The following is a 19383-nucleotide window of genomic DNA, read 5'->3' as shown; positions in this document are numbered from 1 at the left end:
GGAGAAACATCCAGATCTGAAACTCGTTATTTTAAATCTTTCCAAAGTGAGACACTCAATAAAAAGATCCCAAAATAAAATATGTTTTCTAGTATTTTGATAAATCAACAGTGCTGTGTTTTTCACAACCATCTGATTCTAGCCAGGATTTTAATGCAGCAGTTTGAGCAAACTTGGGAGCAATAATTTATTTCATTTTCTTGAGAATGCACATTGATTTCCTACATAGAAGCTCCGTAGTTCATTTGATTATTTCTAAGTAATCAGGAGCACCATTTTAAACTAGACTACCCTTTTTTCATAGTCTAGTCTAAACTCTCTTTAGGATGCAAAGATTTAATTTCTATTAGTAAGAAAACAATCACTTGTATTTTATATGCATAAATAAAAAAATGTCTCTCAAATATTGGTTATATTATAGGCTAATGTCTCCATTTATAGAATAATTTACTGCATATACTACAGTTACATACTTTATGCAATAAGGTATTGATTTTCAAACTGCTTTTCCAATGCCCAGAGTTCTAGAGTATTGAGCCTTGTTGGGTGGAAAAAAAGGAGAGAACTAAGTGGCCAAGAAAATTGGACTCTGGGTCCACCAGCATCATTCTAATCAATTTTTCAATCTATTCCTAAGTTGCAGTTTTACATATGATATTATTTGGCAAAAATACTTTCTGGCTAAAAATATATAAACCACCACTAATGGAATTTTGTTATAAAAAATTGAAAACTCATTTCCAGTCTTCACTCTTTACAAAAGATTATTATGTTTAGTGGTTTGCAATATGCTTCAATTATTCTCAGCTAATGGTTTATGTAATGTAATATTAAGTAAAATCTCAACTGTAATCAAGAATGACAAAATATTTGAGTCACAATTTAAGATAATATACTCTCAATCTGAAAAAAAGATAAATATTTAGATACTTTTTTCTCAAATAAGTATATTACCTTTCACAATAATTATCAAAATGGGGGGGAGGTTCTTTTTTTTTTAACACCTATCAACAATCATTCTTAGTTACTTGCACTTAAATTGACTATTTCTCTCTAAAATATTCTACTATCTCCACTAGTTTATGTTTCTATTCTTCCACATGAATAAAAATGAAATTATATAATATGCCTGAAGTTCAATAATTTAATTTTACATTAATCCGTTTGCAGTATTCCTAAATTTATTTGAAGTGTTATGTTATCATACAGAAAATTTTTCCACCTTTATAATGAAAACTATTTCAATAATTTTATTGATTCTTCACAATCTATTTCAAGTTATATAGGTAAGAAATATTCAAAACCTCCTAATACAATTTCCTCATAAATGTCAGTGTGTGACCAAGTAGAAAGTACATATACATGAGAATCATTTTGTGCAAAATTAAGTTACAGATTCTCTATTATTCTTCACCATCTTCTTAAATTAAGACAAACTAATAAATTCATATTACTGAATGGAGACTGAAATTATTTTACCTAACACACTTGTTTATTGTTTAGCATAAAAAAGGTAAAGGCCCTACAAAGAGAAATTACTTCCTATTTAATAGTAATATTGTGACCAAAACAAAGTCTTCTATCTAAAGGCCTTTCAACGACATCATCTTGGAAATCAATATTATAAGCAATAGTATGTACATATAGGTATATATGTATAATAAGGAATTGTAGCTGCATGTCTAAATAGGCTTCCTTGAATTCCTCCCCAAGAAATTAAAACAATAATTAAAACACATAGTACACATTCAATTTACAAGTTTTTACAAGATTCTAAAAATAAGTTGTCATTAACATTCAAATTAAAAATAACAAGCATTAAGGCAGTAAATGGTATATAGGAACTAAGGTTGCTTATGCCATGCAAATTTTCCCATTTGTGGAAGGTCTTTCAGTTGGGACAAAATGAAGAGAGAGACAAACAGCTTCTTGGCTTCCCTTTGCCACTGGCTGCACAAGGCACTAGCTCTTTCCTGTGGCACTCCTGGATCTCTTAACTTTCCCAGGGTTTTGGTTATAGGAGTCATTTCTTTTCTTTTATTTTAGAGATAAGTTATCACTATGTTGCCCAGGCTAGCTTCGAGCTCCTCGGCTCAAGTGATCCTCCTGACTCAGCCTCCCGAGTAGCTGGGACCATAGGCATATGCCACTGCAACCAGCTTTTTTATGTAGCAGTCATTTCTAGCTTTCAGAAAATGTGCATCTGCATCATGGGTGCATTCTCATTTGGGTACTTGACTCTCCCATTCCATCCCAAAACCTATGAGAACAAATTTCTTTGTATGATACCCATTTTGGTCACTCTAACAGCCATATATTTTCCCAATTTAAATAAATATGTTGTCCGGGCACAGTGGCTTACACCTGTAATCCCAGTACTTTGGGAGGCCGAGGCAGGCGGATTAGTTGAGGTCTGGAGTTCGAGACCAGCCTGGCTGATATGGTGATACCCCACTTCTACTAAAAATACAAAAATTACCCAGGTGGGGTGGCACACGCCCGTAATTCCAGCTACTCAGGAGGCTGAGGCAGGAAAATCCTTTGAACCTGGAGGGCAGAGGTTGCAGTGAGCCAAGATTGCGCCACTGAACTCCAGCCTGGGCGACACAGTGAGACTCGGTGTCAAAAAATAAATAAATATGTTTATGTTTATGTGTGTTTCTGTCACCATAGCTAGATAGAATTTTTTCAACAGACAAGTGGACAATTAGAAAGTCTAATTTAGTAAATAGACAAGATAGCATACACAAAATTCACCTGGCGCTGGGGGCGGAAGACATTAGGGATAATCACTTGGAGACCAGTAAAGAAAGACATATCTTCAAAAGCAAATAAAAGTGATGTTGAATCTGAAAAATGTGTGTTCACAATTGAAGAAAACATGTATTTTCAAAGACATTAGAGACCAGTGTCTAAGATGAAGAACTTCTGAACACTTCAAGAAATGGAAAATCATTCAGAGGTACTCAAAAGCCTATTTGACTACCCATCAAGAGATAGTGACTGAACCTGAATAAAGAGGTAAAAATGTTAATGAGTAAAAATCATCAATCTTTGTGAGCACATGGTGAAACGACCACATTTATATAGCTACCTGGTAGTGTATAAATTAGTAAATTTTGTAAAAAACAAAACTTATGAAATATTTCCTATATACAACAGAATGTATATAATGCATATATAATATTTAGAGTAATAAAACATTGTATCTACCAAAACGAGTGGGCTAGATGATCCATATTTTTGAATGAAATATCCCCTCTGTACACTATTTAAAACAACAGAAAAAAATCTTGTTCCTATTACCAACTCATATGCGAGGCCATAGACAATAATGCCAACCTAGGATTGAGTAAGTATCAGTGTATAAAGTGAAATCCCTATAAGGGACTCTGGTTGGGAATTCAAGTGCATATGTCTAACTATACCATAGTCTATATGTGGTCAATACATTGACCAATTTTCTGTTGTTTAAAGCTAAAAGCTAAGTATGACACAAAGTAGTGACGATTTGTTTATCATAACCCAACAATTAATACTTGTCTTACAAAAAGAATTTTCAATCATATAAACTTCAGTAAAATATGTTTCTAAATAAGTTCAAAAGCAAATATGAGTAACATTTCATTATTTATCTCATTTAATTTTTTTAATTTTTTTTTTCGCCTCTAAGAACCCATGTTTATGAGGTCCCAGAATGGAATTTAAAATTTAACATTTAAATTTAAAGAATTTAAAATTTAACATTTAAATTTAGAGAATTTAAAATTCACCTGCTTTTAAGTTCTAGGAGAGATTATCCAACAATACGATGAGTCTGGAAGGTGTGTTAGTTTAAACCCTAAGAAAATCTAAGATGGGATTAAACATGCAAGAGGTTCTTTGGGGGGAAATGCCTACGAGGGATGAGGGGAAGGGAGACAATGAAGGAGAGATGCAAGTCTGGTGCTTATTTGGTAGAACTGGGTAAGAAGAGTCTCAGGTTGCAGCCTCTTATTTCCAAGAGAGGATTGACAAGGCCAATGTGGGACCTCATAATGGGCCCATTAGAGGAGTCTGCACGAATGGACTAGCACAGTCCCTAAGCAGTGCTCAGTCACTGACTGGGAGTAGCCCACAAGTAGCAAAGCTTCTGAGTAATTACAGAGTTGGATCGAGAGAGGCAGAAATTGGGGCAGTCAGTCAATTATGTTCCCTGCTGCAGAAGATGCAAGCAGTGCATTTTCCTGGCTGCCACAGGAGAAACGGCATGTGTTATTACCTAGCTAGTTCTCTTCTCCTTTTGGCAGCTGAACTCCTTTCAAAAGATTATGCTTTTTACTGCTCCAAGCAAATATATAAGATTTACTCTTATAAAGGTGGGTAAAGAGGTCAGCATTTGTTTTTGAGGGAGGAAATACCTAGTACATGAGGCCAAGGTCTTTGTAACCAAAATAAGAATTGAATTTGGGCAACAGACTTAACACCAATAGTGACTGAGGATTTTTCCAAAGTAGCTGTGATATATGGCTTCAGTTTTGAGTTGGTGATGTATAGAAATTTATATCAAGCTTATCTAGAAGTTTGCAATTGTGCAATTTTGTTGTTTTTTGTTTTGTTTTGTTCCTCTGCCCTGGCTTGAAAGGCTTTAAGTTTTAGGTTCCATGGTATTTTTTCATTTGGTGGTAACCACAGCCTATGGAAGCTCTTTCTTCAAGGACAGTGCCATATACACTAAGACTAAACTGGATAATCACCGTAAGAAATGTGGGGTTGAGAGCTTCATCAAATGGTTGATCTATAGCAGACTTGGGCTGATTTAGGATACAAGATAGTGCTGTTTCAGCTTCGACCATTCAGGTGCAGCTTCCTAAACAGGTGTGGCTGAGGCAAAGATTCAAATGTAAGAAACAGTCTTTTTATACCTAGGTCTATTAAACATTAGGAGGCAGAACAACATTTGCTAGTATTATGTGGAAAGGATTTAGCAATGCTGAATCTGAGTTTTACATATACTACACTGTACTCATAAAGTTCTAGGTTTGCGTTATCAGTGTCAGACGTAGATGAACAGTACAAAAGAGACATACAAAAATAAAAGGCTCTGAATATGGGATGGGAGAGGGTGTTCTCAAATAAGTTTTGCTCTCTGGAGCTTCCACCATTAAAAATTTCTAAACTTTGAAAAACAGCAGCAGTGTCTCAAATGCTACAATCTGGGAAAGGAGACAGCTCAACAAGGTAAATTGTTTCCCCCATGTACATGCTAAAATTAATCTCTTGCTAATTCCTCCCCATTGAGTTTACAAATTCTGGATAACTAGCATAAAGTGGCTAGCATTATAGGTAAACCAAGAATATTTTCTCAGCCTGAGCTCCTTCACCCAAATACCATTGAGCCTATGCTGTGGTATTTGGCAGCAATATTTAATTAGACTAGATCCCGGGTCCTAGATTCTGGGAACATTATTTGCCTTGCATTCTGGGACTGAAGATTGGCTCATTTCAAAATGTGCTGGGTATGGGCCTAGGGCTGTGACCATCTGGTGTGTCCTATTTATCATTTGGACTCTTTAAAGTGTAGTTCGCCAATCATTGGGCATTAAGCTAATAGAACTTCTGAGGCCCTGAAGGAGCTACACCCATTTCAGTAACAGATAGCCCAGGTTGCAGCTTTTAAAAGAACTCCAACCTTACCAAGCACTTAGAACCCCTCTAGCTGAGACTGAGTAGAATATTAAGCTAAAAAGAATGGATTTCTTTAGCATCTTACAACACAAGGGCAAGAGAATTTGATTTTTGGACTTTATTTCCTTCACTCTTCTTCTTAAATTTGAATTTATGAGCCAGATTTTTTTCTGCTTGCTCCTACAGATCTACTCTATACCCTGCTCTGTGCCCCAGAGGCTGCATAGTCTCCCTTCCTCTGACTTCCCGCTGGATTCAGCCAGTGGAAAGCACCAATAGGATAGGAAGGAAAGTAGGTCAGGGTATTTTTTCCCCTTGGTTCCTTCTCTGCTGGTTTACCAGGAGTTGGTGGCATCCCTCTATTTAAGGCATCACTTTCCATATAACTACATTGTTTAGATTCCAAAAATCTTTTCCTCCCCATGCTTCTTCAGGCCTAAGGTGGTAACAGGCACTGTCTATTGATAACTCAAGAGCGATGGCCATCCTTGTTGGCTTCCCTACACTGTGTCCACATCAGTGTAAACATTCCCTTTGTTAAATTCAACTGCCCAGTTTGAGTGTACCATCTGCTTCCTACTATGACCTGGTGGATACAACTTGAAAGAGAAATTGAGTTTAAAACTTCTCCCTAGGAATTTGGTAGTAGGAAAGGGGTTGTATTTTATGATTTGTCATTTGCTGTCTTTGAAGAACTTCTGATAGGCCATTTTGGATATGTAGCTGGACATATTAGGGATATCAAGTAGCATATAAGTAAACTTCATGCTTGGGTACACGGTGGCCTTGGAGGACTTAATTTAATTGCCTATCACTATGACCTATTGTAAGCCTCTATATGTAAAATCCATAGGGCCTACCAGTGGTCCCAGCAGGTACTCAAAGGAGCAATAACTAGTATTTTCAGAGCAGCCTCAAACAAGTGGAGGAGGGAAGGGTCATCCTGAGAGGCTGCTGTTCACCTTCCCAGTGTACGTTCATACCTTTGGTTGAAGAAAGATTTAATAGTTAAGTCCAATGGATTAAGAGAACAAAAGAAATTTTGATGGTGACAGATGTTTACTGCCCACTCCTGGTGTTTTCTTTGATGCAGAGGGAATCCCATTAGTAAAACATTCTTGGCCTCTATCTACCCCCTCACTCGTCAATTCCTTGAGTGACTTATATGACAGGTGAGTCTGGAAGGGGAAACTAGGTATGCAAAGCCCTGTCTGCTCTTTCCTTTTTTTTTTTTTTTTTTTTTTTAGACAAAGTCTCACTCTGTCACCCAGGCTGGAGTGCAGCGACGCGATCTCAGCTCACTGCAACCTCCGCCTCCGGGGTTCAAGTGATTCTTATGCATCAGCCTCCCAAGTAGTTGGGACTACAGGCATGCGCCACCATGCCTGGCTAATTTTTTTGTATTTTTAGTAGAGACGGGGTTTCACCATGTGGGCCAGACGGGTCTCAAACTCCTGACCTCAGGTCGTCCGCCCACCTCGACCTCCCAAAGTGCTGGGAATACAGGCGTGAGCCACCATGCCCAGCCTGCTCTTTCCATTTTCTTAGGAAGGCCCTGCCTACAACGAGTGGACAGTCAGCTCAGCTCCAGCCGGATTCCTGTCTCTTGGTTTATGGCATGTATGTATGCGGGAGAGACGGCTTCCTTAGTCCGGACAGCTATAACTTGGTGAGAAAATTTGCATAATTGCAAAATTCAGTATTCAAAAATACATTTGTCTGCAAATACAGGGCACATTCTGAAATACTAGCTTTACGTGGGATACAGATAATATTCAGACTTCCATCTGCCTTGCTTCTTGGGGAAAAGAGGTAATATTTATTTTTCCTCCCAATGATCCCCAACAAATATTAATTTAAAATTCCCTTAAATTAAATTCCATACTTTTCAGTATAATATTCTTAATAAAATAAATAATATCATCCTATCACCAAAAACTAAGTTGTGATTTAATTACTTGCTTTAAAAACCAAAAATACTATCATGCCCAGAAAAAACGGAAAGCCTTAAAATTCTATAGCAGTCAGTGAAATAAAAAAAAAAAATAGTTCTGCTATTGTTTGGAAGATTTCAATATATTTAACTAAAATAAATATGTACTTTTTAAAAACTATTAAATTATAACAAATGATAAAAAATTTGATTTAGGGTTACCTTTTCTGTCTTTTCATCATTTTCTGTTTCTGCTCCTTTATCCTCAGTGTATAAAACAGAGGTCAAAATCTGAGAATACATCTCTGTGGTTAACTGTAAGTGCTGATGATGGTGTCTGGTAAAAGAGCTGCTGACACCAGGTCAACATGAATGATAGAAAGAAACATTGCACTCATAAAAGAGCAAGACCTTCCTGGTTTTGTGTCATGTTTGATATTCAAAGGGGCACATACAGAAAGCATTGGTTGGCAAAGATATATTATTATGTGAACACTATCAGAGTTGAAAGAGGAAAATTTATACTTGAGAGAAATAGTTTGTATTAAACAATTGAGGAGTTGCCAGAACACGCCACTGAAGTTTTGCTGACAGGTATGTTCAGAGAAAGATAATATTCAGGTGGAGGTGGGGAGGGGGGTGGATTTCCTAACACCAATCACCATGGTAAGCCCAGCACCAGTCTTGGTGATTTTGTGACACAAAAATCTTGTGGATTTCGCTTTCCAGTGAAACCTTCCTTTCACCAAGGTCTGTGCTGCCCTGTGCTTGAGGTAAAGAGTATAAGACCAACTTGTCCCAGGAGGGAAGTTGTTACAATATAAGTAGCATAGGCCAGAAGGAGAATGTATGGAGTAGATCAGTAAGCTACATGGCTCTCAAGAGAACTTGAGTTCTCTTGAAGATTCATGGCAAGTTGTTCTATGTGTGAACTACTGTGTAAAAATGAAACAATACTTGAGGGAGGAATAGATGTTTCATAAGCCGAGAATGTTACATATTACCGTACTAACTCACACTCATCAAACACAGAAAATTTTATTAAGCACAGTCTGTGTAACAGGAAACTTGCCCTAGCAAGTACCCCAAAGGAAATAACTGTCCTGAAGGACAATGTAGTAGAGGATACAGATTATATATATATATATATATATTTTTTTTTTTTTTTTGAGACTGAGTCTCGCTCTATCACCCAGGCCGGGGTGCAGTGCTGTGATCTTGGCTCACTGCAACCTCCACCTCCCAGGTTCAAGCAATTCTCGTGTCTCAGCCTCCCGAGTAGCTGGGATTGCAGGTGCCCACCATCACGCCTGGCTAATTTTTGTATTTTTAGTAGAGATGGGGTTTCACTATGTTGGCCAGACTGGTCTCGACTTCTGACTTCAAGTGATCCATCTCAGCCTCGGCCTCCCAAAGTGCTGGGATTACAGGTGTGAGCCACCACGCCTGGCTTTATTTATGAAAAGACAAATAATGAAGTACCAGACACTCGTAACAAGGTGATGATGAATTAAGCTAAATACCAAGATTTGCAAAACTATAATGATGTTAGGCTTTTATGATTATCTAATCCAGGACATTAGAACCAGACCAATCTTTAGGGAATAGGGCAGAGTACCTCCAAAAAGGAGCATTTTTACTATTGTCAATGATCCTAAAAGGGGTTAAACCAGAGAGTGTGAGCGGAGAGCTGGATTATAGAGGAAACTTGCCTCTTTCTAAGGACTATTTGATGAATGAAAAAAAATCTGAGAATTATGGAGTGGTTCAAATGGTAGGGTTTGAGCTGTCCCTGGTCAGAGGAGAAAGGCTGAAAACAAGGCAAAGAATAAGCTTATAAGTAACTATTATATTAGTCCATTCTCATGCTGTTAATAAAGACATACCCAAAGCTGGGTAATTTATAAAGGAAAGATATTTAATTGACTCACAGTTCCACACGTCTGGGGAAGCCTAAGAAAACTTACAATCCTGGCAGAAGAGAAAGCAAACACGTCCTTCTTCACATCATGGCAGCAAGGAGAAGTGCAGAGCAAAAGGGGGGGAAAATCCCCTTATAAAACCACCAGATCTCATGAGAACTCACTCACTATCACGAAAACAGGATGGGGGAAATCTCCCCCATGATTCAATTGTCTCCACCTGGTCCCTCTCATGACATGTGGGGATTATGGGAACTACAATTCAAGATGAGATTTGGATGGGTGGATGGGTACACAGCCAACCCATGTCACTACAGATGTGGGCATATTTAGGGGTAATGGTTGTTAGGAATTCTCTGATATAAACACTTCTTTTATCCATGATGCTTCATTAAAGCCTAAGCAAATAGTATAATGGTCTCAGTTTTGTTGTGGATAATTAAGAAAGGCCTGCTGTTTGCATTTTGGGAAGGAATGATACAAGTGAGAGCAGTTTCTTCTCTCTAGACCCTGGAAAAGGATGTGAGTGTGAGGGTGGAGAGGAGAGAGTTAGAGTCGGTGGAGCTGGCTAACGCAGCCGCACCAGGTGGAGTGGCCCTCTACTAAAGATCAGCAGTCAAGAAGACAGAAGCGTGAGGATCAAATGAAGAAGCTTGAACAGGAGAAACATAAGGGTTTGTGCTGGACCAGATGAGAACCAGTACTCTGGGAATAGCCAGAAACAGCTAAGGTTCATTTTGATGACTCTCATTTCCTGATAATTAAGTTGATGGGATATTTGCCATAATAATTTGCATACAAAGATAAAGTTTGCTTTGATTTGATAATAACAGGTTTGATCACTTACGGTTCCATTATTCATAGGGTAACCATCTGTCCCTTTGCCCTGGTCACATCCAATCTATGCCTGTTATCTCAGTTTAATAATCAATAGTACTCACTTTCCATATCCACAGTCCCAACCTGAACAATAAAAATAATGTGGTCACCCTACCTAAGCCCTGCATCAATGACACAGAGAAGAAACACACAAGTTCAGAAGAAGAGATATTGCTGAAGGATAAAAGATATTACATCCTTCACTAAAGGATGAAATACGTCTTGAAGGAAGGGAGGGCTTAAACAAAGAGAAAAAAAGTAATGATTTTATAGGAAAAATGAATGGTACTTAAAAGTAAACTCAATGAGGCATACCTGCCATTTTTTGCTAATATACATTGAATTCTTACCATGTGCCATGCACAATTTTGTGTTTTTACATGTATTACAACTTTTTCTCTGTAAAATAATCCTACAGCATAAATATTATTACTAGTTTTTTAGTGCGGCATAATTTTTTAGTTAAATAGAGTCAATTTAACAAATGTATACAAAGTATGCAGTGAGGAGATGGCAAAGTAAAAATTAAACGTAGGCATCCTGGCTCCTCTGCAATAGCCTGACTACTAGGAAATAATGACCAGATATATTTTGTTAAAGTTTTTGATGAAAAAAATTGTGGTAGGTAAAGTTGGCAAGATGGATGAAAGGGTATTTTACACTATTTGTACTTTATTCCTTAAACAGTGTGGAGCTGATGAAAAGTTTTGAGAAACTGATTTGAGCAAGGCTATTTCTGGAAGATTTACATTTGAAAGCAGCATACAGAAGGAATCTGAATTAGAATTATAAGGTTGTTTTTAATCATATTGGTTTATCATCTCAAATTTATTGTTTTACCCCTTTTCTACTCATTGTTATAAACACATGTGACAACTTTAGGAATTGTTTGCAACTAAGACTTGTGGAGAATAAGATTAATAGCCAAAACACAGAAAGAAAAGTAACCATAAAGAGATGGTACATATGTGTATTTGTACACACACACATTTTTTGTTTAGAGATACGTACCTAAAACAAAGCCCCAAAGCTTGGTGTGAAAGCCTGTAGGAGAGGGTTGGGTTGAAGATGAAAGGAGAAACAAACACTAGGGCTAGAAACGAGATCAGTATTTCAGGAAAGATTAGGTCTGCTTTTTAGAAGAATGAGGCTCAAAGGTTAGAATTTGAAGTTCTGGTTCAAAACAAAGAAAATATTTCAAACAATACCCACAATTTAAGGATGAATTGACTTGATATGATTCTATGAGCATTTAACCCCCAAATTCCTCTATTCTAAATATTCAATCTATAGAACGTTATACAAAAATAGAAAAGGATAGCTAACACTGTATATATGCAGAAGATAGTATGTGTTCAGTAGAAGGAACAGCAGCATGCACTGTGTATGTGCCATAGGTAGACTGGTAAGAGACATATGAATAGATTGGCAGATCAATCAATAGATATTTTAACTAGATAGATATGGATCAATAGACAGGCAAATAAGTATTATTACATGATTTTACCAAATTTCCTCATTTCCAAAATGTGGAAGTCATGATCAAGATAATTCTATGAGTTGAAAAGCTATGCCTGAATAATGTTTGCATGGTCCATGTACTGGTAAATGGGAAAAGCAAAATGATTGAAAGCTTTAGGAATTATTTCTAACATCCGGATTTGGACAATTAGTATTTGTTCTTGAGGCTATAAATTGGTACTTTTTCACATTATTAAAAAGTCTAGTGACTACTGGAGTTTAGGGAGATCATTTTCCCTAAAAGTTAAAAAATAAATTGTTGAAAGTATTTCTTCTCCCAGATGGCACATGATGGCATCTTTATAAAAGCATCAATATTTGAGACACTCAATGTCCAATGTACTGTTTCATTCATGTTCTGGGATTGTGTTTTTATTAGTATGTATGATATGAAAATGTAGATTATATTTCTAAATTTAAAATTATATTCAAGTTATAAATTTAATAATTAATTTCCTGAAACTTTTATGAAAATAAACCCATAAAATCATAAACATTTTACCCTAAATATTTATGCAATATTTTATGTATTTATATAGTTTCACTTCCTTTGCCTAGGTAGTTTATATATCATAGTGGCCCAAATGAAAATTCTGGTAAAGAATCAGATACCTGGCCAGTTGTGGTGGCTCATGCCTGTAATGCTGATACTTTGGGAGGCCAAGGCGGGCAGATCACTTGAGATCAGCCTGGGCAACATGGCAAAACCCTGTCTGTACAAAAAAAAAAAAAAAAAAAAAAAAACCCACACAAATGAGCTGGGTGTGGTGGCACATGCCTATAGTCCCAGCTAATCAGAAGACTGAGGTAGGAGAATTGCTTGAGCCCAGGAAGTCAAGGCTGCAGTGAGCCAAGATCATGCCACTGCACTCCAGTCTGGGCAATAGGGTGAAACCCTATCTCAAAAAAAAAAAATCAGACACCTATCTTCTAATGTCTATATGTATATTATTTTGAGGAAAAAAATGAATTCTGCAGATAAACAATACGAATATTTTCACTTTTTAAATCATTTATTTTAGTGGAAGGACAACTGAAGTTTTTTTTACTTGTATTTTTTTGTTATATAATGAGGTCATTATTTCCAGAGAATAATTCCTCTTTCTAATTGCCTGAAACCACTGTCATAATAATTTGATTTAGATAGGAAAGAAACAATCATAGTCTCTTTTCAATTAAGAGACATACTTTATTTTCCAATTCATCCATTTTCCTCATCTTCTCTAAAACTCATTACAACCTGAACAATTTTATTCATCCCAAACAACTTCTGAAAACACAGTCAAGGGTTACAGTATAATTGTGAAGTTTTAATGTTGTCCCTTATCTTTTTCTTGGAAAAATTTATATTAATAGGTAGAAACTCCAGCTTTTTTTTTTTTTTTTTTTTTGTGATGGAGTCTTGCAATGTTGCCCAGGCTGGAGTGGAAACTCCAGTATTTTAAAGTATTTCTGTAAAGCAGTACATTGGCTATGAAAATAAAATACAGAAAAACCATGGCTTTTTTCCAGATATAACACTATTACATATATTTTGGAACACCCGAATATATCAAGAAACAATGATTGTTGTTATGCCAAAGTATATTTTCACCAACTAAAAGAAAACATTCATGATCCACCAACTGAGGACAAACAAACCTTTTATGACCTAGAACCTGGAGACTGGATCTTTTGGAAATGACACCGGAGAAAGACTGCTCTTGAACCCCACAGGAAGGGATCATCCCAAGTTCTTCTCACCAGCCACACTGCAGCAAAATTTTAGGGCCTTGAGTATTAGGTCTACATTTCTCAATTCAAGAGAATCTCTCCAAACTCTTGGGACTGTACTCCTGTTGGAAACCTCAAGATAACACTTACCAGAGAGGTTTCTCCTCAGAGTCAGACAACATCCTAGGTGTGGACAGCTTTTCCAAGGTCACAGATCAAAATTTCTCTCCTCTGTCATCATGAAACCTTTGTTATTTTTCCACTTTGCCCTGTGTTTCTTTTCTGCTTATATGTGGCAAGCTAATGTGATAATTAAGGCTTCTGTGATAATCAACAGCTTCCACAGAGAAATGCACTAAATGTTGGATATGTCATGTTAAACCTAAACCCTTACGTGATTTTAGAGATCCTTAAGTTTACCCTGTAACAAATTTCACCATTATTTTCAGTGTGACTATTTATTCAAATTTCACATCTGGTGCTTTCTATAACGTGAGGCTTTTAGAGTCAGATATTCAAGTTCCATGTTTAAATCTAACTGTTTAGATCTAACAATAGGCAAAACCCATAGTGAGGGTTTTGTAGTTAAAGTATGCCAGAAAATAAGAAAACCAAAAGAAAGATAATTTGAAAGTTTATAGACAAATTTATAACCCCAATTCCTTAACTGTCAGTAGCTTCCAACCATGCAATAATGAGGTTGGGAGTTCGAGACCAGCCTGACCAACATGGAGAAACCCCATCTCTACTAAAAATACAAAATTAGCGGGGCATGGTGGCACATACCTGTAATTCCAGCTACTCGGGAAGCTGAGGCAGGAGAATCTCTTGAACCTAGGAGGTGGAGGTTTCAGTAAGCTGAAATCACACCATTGCACTCCAGCCTGGGCAACAAGAGTGAAACTGTCAAAAAAAAAAAAAAAAGAAGAAAGACAAAGAAGCCTTGGATAAATATTACTACCATTGCTTCCCTACTGGTAACCTCTAACACACAGGCATCCCGCAGGGAACTACCTATTGTGCCCTTCCAGGAGATATTTTATGTGTGGAGCATTTAATCATCAACTGCATGCATGGACAACTTTATATCTCAATAAGTGGAAAATAAGAGGCCAATGTGGATTAGAAGTTCTAACAGTACTATTGTCACTCCATAACCAATTGGAAACTAAATATTGGTCTACACCTCTTAATTTGTTCTATAAAATAAAGAGGAATTTGTCAGCAGTCATAAATATCTCATGTAGAGAGATCTTGAGATTTAGAGAGCATTTTTGGTAGAATACTCCTTCCCTGGATTGGCATAAATGTAAGTAAAGTTATTATTAAAATTCTGTCTTAAACATTAGCTACTATATCTGACTCAACTGCAAAGGCTTTAGTTGCCCAGCAACCTTTTAAAAATCCTCTTGCTAAGATTGTTTTAGATAACGGCATTGCTTTGGACTACCTGTTGGCTGAACTGGGGCAGGGTGGGTGGGGAGGCTGGCAGAAGATGGGGAGTGATGGCTAAGATCTCTTGCTGCACTTGGATACATGTGTCTGGTATGACAGCAGCTCCATTTTAAGAAATCAACAAACAAGCTACTTGGTTAAAACAAGTAGATTCATCTTCTGACTTATTTTAAAAATTTGTCTGATTTTAATTTGTTCAGTTCAGGAGAGTTCCTATTAGGAGTGCACTTTATTCAGTCTTTTGCCATTATTCTCTGATAGTTTTCATAGTAGTTTTCCTGGTGCACTGTATTTTCTCAAGAGTCTTAATGCTTGTATGCAGCTATCCACACTGCATCATATGGTCCCACTCCAGTTAGAGCAACAAAAACACAAAGAAAACAAAAAGAATCACTCGACTGACCTGACATGATAACTTGTGAATTCCATACTGAGACCAAACAAGTTCAATATGATGGTGACAAAGAGCTCCTGTGTAACTCACAAAAACAAAAGCTCTTTGGGATTCTTTCAGTAATTTTAAAGAGCATGAAATGGTCCTGAAATCCAAAGTTTGAGAACCACTGTTCTAAGAATAATCTGTAAACTGACAGCTGGTGAAAGGAAAATAATTAAGACGAGGTTGGATGAGAGAGGTGGTTTGAGAGGAAGAAGAGTTCTGAGGAATGGGAAAAGAAGCACGGAACCACAGAGAGGTTTTGTTAGTCAGGAGTAACAGCATGACCCATTGTTTTCTCTTTCTCTCATTTTCATTCCAATTCATTCCTGCTTCTTGTGCTATGCTTCTTGCTATCTGTGATATATAGATTCCAAATCTCCCTGCTATATTTCCATGCCAATACCTACATTACCACCTATCCTGACCCCATCCCCGACCGTTACCAGACAAGCACTGATATCATATGAAATTTGGAGACCAGGAATGAAGGAAACTAGATAGGGTAGGAGAAGGGAAGGGCAGATAGTAATATGCTGAATTAACCTCAGCACTTCCAGCAAGTTTTCAAAGCGCCAGTGGAGAAAGGAAAAGAGAAAGATAGCTCTACAGTGGTGTGGCTATTTATTCTTGAGTGTACATTATGAATACTCATTAAAAATTGCAAATTTCCTACCACATTCAATTAAATGGGAAAGTTTTATGAAAAACTTAAAAATTGGGAATTAATTTAAAAAAGAAAAGTTTAGTTAGTTGCCAAAGCATAAGAAAGGAAATGAGGAAAAATTGCAAAGGTATCAATGTTACAATTGAATCAAAAAGGAAATTTAATATTCTTGATTATTGATACAGGATTACAATTGAAGTTATGTAAATATATTGAAATATACAAATAAGCTTTATTAAAATTAAATATCAAAAAAACTAATTGAATATACTTTTTAAGTTTTCATTTTTAAGGACAAAGTTAGTGCTGAAACTGAGAGTACTATGAGGCAACTTGGCCCTCTTAAATACAAATGAAATTACATTTTAAATATAAACTAGTGGATGAGTTTATTTTCATTGTTATTTAAAATATAAATTCATTGGTGGATGTAACATCTGCTGCATGTGTTACTCTAGGTTTCTTAAATTCTCAATAAGTGACTTTGAATAATATTTGCTGTTAAAATCAACACTATATATCTCAGAAACCATATTATCTGACTTGTATACAATATCAATACTTTCATTTTGCTATTCAATAGATTTCTTTTAGAGCCGCTTGTAATTTTTTCTTTAAAAATATATAAATGTGAAATGCTAACTTTTGCCACAAGGTGGCTCTTCATAGACTCTAACTGTATCATCTAAGCAGCTCTTTTTAAAAATTTCCATAAAGACTATATTATCTCCTAAACGTTCTTTTAAAGTGAATATTATTGATATAAAACAAGTTTTGGGAATAGAGGAAAAATCTAAGATAAATAGTTAGATTCTTTCAATGATTTCTGGTGTGTCCACACACACACACACACACACACACACACACACAGAGAGAGAGAGAGAGAGAGAGAGAGAGAGAGAGAGAGAGAGACTGCCATTATAATGTATTTATTTAGAAGATATCCAGGCTCTTGAGTTACTGTAGCAGAATGTGGTACCTCCTAAGGAAGGCAGTTCCTCAACAAAAGGCACCCTGAACAGGTACTTTCATCACTTACTTGGCAATCCATGATTGCTGTTTCTTCTCTTGTATAGGAGCATATCTCCCATTCAATATCCGAGGAAGGATGACATATGAAATCATTCACTTAAAGAATGGCTTTACTAGCAATGGCTTTACATAGACGGAAGCCCCAAATACAAAGCATTTATCCATTAAACAAATGTATATTGGTCTACTCTATATTCCAGACAGTACAATAGATAGACAGCTCAGCATAGCAGTTAAGAACATAGACCCTGGAGCCAAATTGTCAGGACTTCAATAGTGATTACACTTCTTATTATCAGTGTGGTCTTAGTAAAATACTTAACTTATTGCATCCAGATTTCCTTATATGTTAAATAGGTATAATAATATAAGATTGTCATGAGGATTAAATAACTGAGTGAAGTAAAGGCTATAGAATAATGCTCACTATATTTAAGTGTTTCATAAGTGGTAGCTATTATTACTAGGTGCTGTAGTGGATTTAAATCAGATAGGCAAATTCCTTGATACTGCATCAATCAAAAGTCTAATTCCCTTTTACTCAGATTTGAGCTGGCCTTAGTGAAGCATTCCTAATGAATAGAATGCAGGGACTTCCAAGGCCAATGAGAAAAAGTGATATAACTTCAATATGCTCTTCCCTCTATCTTAGGATGCCCACCCTTGGAACCCAGACACTGCTATGAGGAAACAAGCGACTAGCTCCCACTTATGTGTGAGAACATGTGGTAGGCATTTTCTGTTCCTGCATTAATTCGCTTAGGATTATAGCGTCCAGCTTCATCCATGTTGCTGCAAAGGACATGATTTTGTTCTTTTTATGGCCACGTAATATTCCAAGATGTAGATATACCACATTTTCTTTATCCAATCCACTATTGATGGGCACCTAGGTCAATTCCATGTCTTTGCTATTATAAATAGTGTGGCAATGAATATACCAGTGAATGTGTTTTTTTTGGTATAATTTATTTATATATACCTATTTTCCTTTAGGTATATATCCAAGAATGGAATTAATGGGTCAAATGGGGGTTCTGTTTTAAATTCTCTGAGAAATCTCCAAACTGCTTTCCACAGGGGACGAATTAATTTGCATTCTCACCAACAATGTATAAATGTACTCTTTGTTTCTGCTACCTTGCCAGCAGTGGTTTTTTGACTTTTTAATAATAACCATTCTGACTGGTGTGAAATGGTATCTCATTGTGGTTTTTGATTTGCATTTTTCTAATGATGATTGATGATGAACATTTTTTCATATGCTTCTTGGTCACTTGTATGTCTTCTTTTTCAGAAGTATCTATTCATGTCTTTGCCTATTGTTAATGGGGTTGTTTTTTGCTTGTTGATTTATTTAAGTTCCTTATAGATTCTGGATATTAGATCTTTGTTGGATGCATAGTTTGCAAATATTTTCTTATTCTGTCTGTTGTCTGTTTACTCTGTTGATAGTTTCTTTTGCTGTGCAGAAGCTTTTCAGTTTAATTAGGTCCCACTTGTCAGTTCTTGGTTTTTGTTGCAGTTGTTTTTGGGGACATCATAAAAAATTCTTTGCCATCGCCAATGTCAACAAGGGCATTTCCTGGATTTTCTTCTAGGATTTTTATAGTTTGAGGTCTTACATTCAAATCTTTACCCCATCTTGAGTTAATTTTTGTATATGGGTAAAGATAGGACTCCAGTTACATTCTTCCGCATGTGGCTCACCAGTTATCCCAGCACCACTGATTAAATAAGGAGTCCTTTTCCCATTGCTTGCTTTTGTCAGCTTTGTCAAAGATCAGATGGCTGCAGCTGTGCAGCTTTATTTCTGGGTTCTCTATTGTGTTCCATTGGTCTAAGTGTCTGTACCAGTACAATGCTATTTTGGTTACTATAGCCTAGCATAGTTTGAAGTAGGGTAGTGTGATGCCTCCAGCTTTGTTCTTTTTGCTTAGGATTGCTTTGGCTATTTGCACTTTCTTGGTTCTATATGAAGTTTGGAATTTTTTTTTCTAATACTGTGAAGAATGACATTAGTAGTTTAATAAGAAAAACATTAAATCTGTAGATTGCTTTGGGCAGAATGACCATTTTAATAATATTGATTTTTCAAATCTACGAGCATAGAATGTTTTTTCATTTCTGTCGTCTCTGATTTCTTTCAGCAGTGTTT

At 36.4% G+C, this 19383-nt stretch overlaps 1 long non-coding RNA gene across 8 annotated transcripts in view, besides 1 other annotated feature; it reads right to left on the bottom strand.

Annotated features, from left to right (window-relative positions):
- The window catches only part of LINC02235 (long intergenic non-protein coding RNA 2235), an 81042-nt gene that overhangs the window by 35721 nt on the left and 25938 nt on the right, over positions 1-19383 (bottom strand). For 6 of the 8 annotated variants that reach the window (NR_170318.1, NR_170315.1, NR_170316.1 and 3 more), the window contains one exon: positions 14422-14538. The exons of 1 other annotated variant lie outside the window; for it this stretch is intronic. This is a non-coding gene — a long non-coding RNA (long intergenic non-protein coding RNA 2235). Of the gene's footprint in view, positions 1-13563; positions 13674-14421; positions 14539-19383 lie in introns of all 8 variants that reach the window. One more of the 8 variants, NR_170313.1, reaches the window with a different exon arrangement.
- Positions 3984-4150: a silencer, noted in NCBI's record as "fragment chr8:82796025-82796191 (GRCh37/hg19 assembly coordinates)". NCBI's record gives its function as "represses an EF-1alpha promoter that drives an FKBP-Casp9 reporter gene in an ReSE screen in K562 erythroleukemia cells {active_cell/tissue: K562}" and the evidence as "EXISTENCE:reporter gene assay evidence [ECO:0000049][PMID:32094911]".

This window comes from Homo sapiens, chromosome 8, assembly GCF_000001405.40.
Source record: "Homo sapiens chromosome 8, GRCh38.p14 Primary Assembly".
Lineage (NCBI taxonomy): Eukaryota > Metazoa > Chordata > Mammalia > Primates > Hominidae > Homo > Homo sapiens.
This window is presented reverse-complemented; position numbering and strand designations above follow the sequence as displayed.